Source organism: Homo sapiens, chromosome 3 (assembly GCF_000001405.40).
Source record: "Homo sapiens chromosome 3, GRCh38.p14 Primary Assembly".
In the NCBI taxonomy this organism is placed as follows: domain Eukaryota; kingdom Metazoa; phylum Chordata; class Mammalia; order Primates; family Hominidae; genus Homo; species Homo sapiens.
The window spans coordinates 77,685,130-77,689,096 of record NC_000003.12 but is presented as its reverse complement, the minus strand read 5'-3'; the positions used below and the strand labels follow the sequence as shown (position 1 = coordinate 77,689,096).

Genomic DNA, 3,967 nt, shown 5'->3' with positions numbered 1-3,967 from the left:
TTTTAATTGCCTTCAGCTCAACAATCTTTCGTATTTTGGAGTGGCATGTTACAGTCTTCCACAGAGGTAAATGCTGAATTAAGAGATATATTCTAAAGGTGGAAAGTAAGATTTGCTTGTGAGGGATGAACAGCCCCAGCCAGCTTCTCCAGGCAGGTGAAATGTGGCTGCTTTCCTCCTCTCCTGCATTTCTACAGTACCTCACAGCTAATGCTCCAAGTGAAATCAGAATGGTCCTATCTTCCAAATATCCCGTGATGCTCCATGCCTCTCCTCCCTTGCCTATTAATTTTCCCAGAGAACACTACTTAATGAAATGGACAAAATTACTTCCACCACACATGCCCTTTCTTTGTTCACATACACCCCCACACAGAACCCGCACACAACACAGCACAACACATATTACAGTCTCACTAACTGAGCTCTCTGTGAGATTACCATGTATACATTATGGTGATAATAAGGACTAGTGAAATTTACATTATTTTTTTGACCTCATGATTCATTCGCTCTCTTTTCAAGTAAGTAATATGATAATCCAAGCCCAGCTAAAATAATAGAAATGGTTAAGACTACCAGATCATAGGACCGTGTCATTGCCTTAAGCTGAATTATACAGACATATTCTTACTATCTAACATCCTAGTCTCTAAATCATATGCCTATAACATAGCTCCTGTTAAAATGTATTTATTTCTGAATTTGTTCTTATTTGCACATTTGCATACAATTGTGTATCTGTAATTGGATAGGATACGTTATATTAGAGCTTTAGTTTGCAAAAACTAAGTGTTAGTTAATAAATAGCTTCAAACAAAATATGAGACCATGTCCTTAGATCTCCCAAGTCACTATTTACTATTTCTATTAGGTTGGGGAAATGCTTCTGATGGTTAACCATTATTCACCATTACCTAATAATTTTTCTTAATTTCACTTTAAAATAATTACCCCATTTTACAGTTCTGGGGACCTATGGATGGAAACAAGGATGGAAATCTAAAGTGTAGTGTTAGTATCCAATATTAAGCACTGGTCTCATCATTTCCCAGTGAAATTTCTACATCAATTTAATAGATAGTGTGTGTATTTCAATGTCAATGAGATGATAAAAATAACATTCGTATATAATTTTCAATATTAAAACACATATTAATTTATTTTATTCTCACAACCCTATGACAAGATAAACTCTGTGCATAAGTGATGGAAATCCACAGATAATCAACAAGCTTCTCTCCCTTGAAGGGTTTGCATGTTATCCCCAAGGAGGCTTTTGACCTGATCTCTACCTAGAAGGAGAAATTGGCTGCTCTTTCTTCTTCGTCGAGTTCCCTTCCCAGCTTGTGGCCACTAGGCTCCCCTCGAGGAGTTTGTGTAGCATCTCCATTGGAGGTCATCTTTTTTTCATCACCATCTGGAGGTCTTTTCCCAGGCACTTTAGTCTCTTCTCTACCTGATTACAATATCCTACTGATTCTGTTTTGCACTTTCTGCTTCTTAACAGGATCTCTCTTTGGTGTCCCAACACCATAAAGAAGTTAATAATGCATAATGAGTTTGGACATCAATAGTTTGAGCTATAGTGAACTAAAACGACTTCTCTTTCATGGCACAATGAAGCCAGAGTCTGATCATAGCCTCACTGAATTCCCATGTTGTCAAGACAGACACAGGAGGATGTTTTGTGAACAGCAACAGTACATGAGCATGAGCTACAGCAAATGCACCTCTCTCCTTCATTCTATTCATCTGGAAAAATAATAGCTTTACATCTGTCCTTGAAAAATCAGCAACTAATAGTCTGGAAAAACTACCTTTGTCTTGTAAAATGCACAATATAATCTTTGCCATTTCCACATAAATCCAAGCTGTCTTTCATTGCCTTTGGTTTTGTGTTTCTTAATAAATTATGATTAGCATACTTAGCCACACTTTTAAAAAATGTTTGTTTCCCTTAAGAATATAGAAGAGGTAGGCTTAGGTATGTCAAAACTTCTAAAATTGTATTCTTTTTTTTCTTTTAGTACATTAATAGGAAAATGGTGTCAGCTCTCTGAATTGACTGCTTGGAAAAACACAACACACACACGCAAGCTAAGATTTGTTAAATGAATACAAGAATAAAACTAATTCTTCAAAACAACTTGGGGACATGGACAAAACATTTGATTTGTGGAAAGGACAAGAAGTAGGAGGGAATTTGGGATCAGTATTTGCTCCAATGAGTGTAATTATTGTGTAAATTGTGGCTCTTGACAAAAATCTCTGAGTCCTGTTGAGATGTTGTTATGTCCCACGAAGGAGCCTGCCTTCTATAGTGTGATTGCTTGCAAAGATGCTGCCGCTGCCTTCCTCCTTTTCCCACAGGAGATGGGCAATTTGCCAGTGTTTCATTTTCAAGTGCCATTGTTCACCTAGAGCCTTAGGAAAAGCTCCTGCTTTTTTATTGTTAATCTAAGCCTAAGTGATGGTCTTAAAAAAAAAAAAACCCTGTAACATTTTATAACAAATTTATTAGGCATCAACATTAGCCACTAAGGCTCAAATAGCTCTGTCACTTATATTTTAATTTAACAAATAATTGAATAGTTTACGCAGTCACCACATTACTTTATTGGTTTGTGAAATCTGTTTGTATGAGTAATTCATGGGAAAAATTATAAATCTAGAGTTGTTTCTGTAATACCTTTCTAACCTCCTTCCATTAGTTATGTTTCTGACAACAAAGCAACATGGTAATGTTCGTCACATGATTTAATCTTTTTAGCATCATAGTTTACATTATATATGTATATGACACTGAAGAAGAAAGGTCCAATTGTCCTGTATTCTAAGGAAAAAAGATACATTTATTCATTAAAGAATTTGAAGAATAGGTGAAAGATGTTAATGATCATCAAATGTGAGCTCATGCTAGAACCTTATGTGAATTAGGTTTGGCAGTCTTGGATTAATCCTTCATATTTAAAACATACTACACACTCAAGGGGGAGGGTAATTTCCTGAATTTTATCATAAAGACTGAAACATGACCAAAATGGATGCCAGAATTTGAAATGGTTGTATGCAAAAATGTAAAGCAGGCAGTCTTTGCTTTTATCACTCCTAACAGCCCTTGCAGATTGCTTCCCCTGTCCTACCGGCATGTGTCATGGTCTGCTCACCTCCCAGCACTTATGGTCTGTCACTTGTCCAAGGCCCCCATCGTGACAGCATCCTTATGCTCACAACCTTTCCCATCTTCCTCATTCTCTGTTCAAAGATTTCCTTCAAACTATAGATTCTTTTAGAGTCCTGTCTAGTCTACCGAACAAGCACATTGATTTGTGTTTAGGAGTTAATAGCTGGTAGTAGCTATTAATGTGACACCTTCCCAGATATAATTTGCATTTAAACAGCTGCCTTTAACAGAAAGAAGTGGAGAATGCTAAGGATTTCAGACTCTGAGGCAGGGCCAATGAGAGTTATTTCTGGTCACCAAGCCAGTCTCAGTACCCCTCAGGTGTTTAATCTGTGTATGAGACATTAGGAGGAAAAAAACAAATAAACAAGGCTTTGATTTGATTCACAGCTCTGACAATTACTAGCTTTGTGACCTTGAGCTAGTTTTCCAGTGTCCTCAGCCATTAACATTGGACTAATAAGGTTTTACGAAAACTGAAAGTAGAATAGCCCAAACTCCTAAAAAGTCAAATATAAAAATGTCTGTTAGTTAGAAATTTTTGGTTACAAATGACAGAAATGTAATGCAAACCATTTATTCCTATACCACTTGAAATGTGCATTTTTTAGCAAACAAAACAATGAATTCTGATATGGGTAGTAATTGGATCACACTTCAATAACTAGTATTCTCCAGTCAAAGCTTTATATTAGTCCGTTTTCACGCTGCTATAAAGAAGTGCCTGAGATTGGGTAATTAGGAAAGGGGTTTAATTGACTCATAGTTCCACATGGCTTG

General features: G+C 36.5%; 1 annotated feature.

The window, feature by feature from the left end:
* Positions 2,022–2,563: an enhancer, noted in NCBI's record as "OCT4-NANOG hESC enhancer chr3:77735685-77736226 (GRCh37/hg19 assembly coordinates)". NCBI's record gives its function as "activates a minimal SCP1, AML or CMV promoter by ChIP-STARR-seq in primed H9 embryonic stem cells {active_cell/tissue: H9 hESC(primed)}" and the evidence as "EXISTENCE:reporter gene assay evidence [ECO:0000049][PMID:30033119]".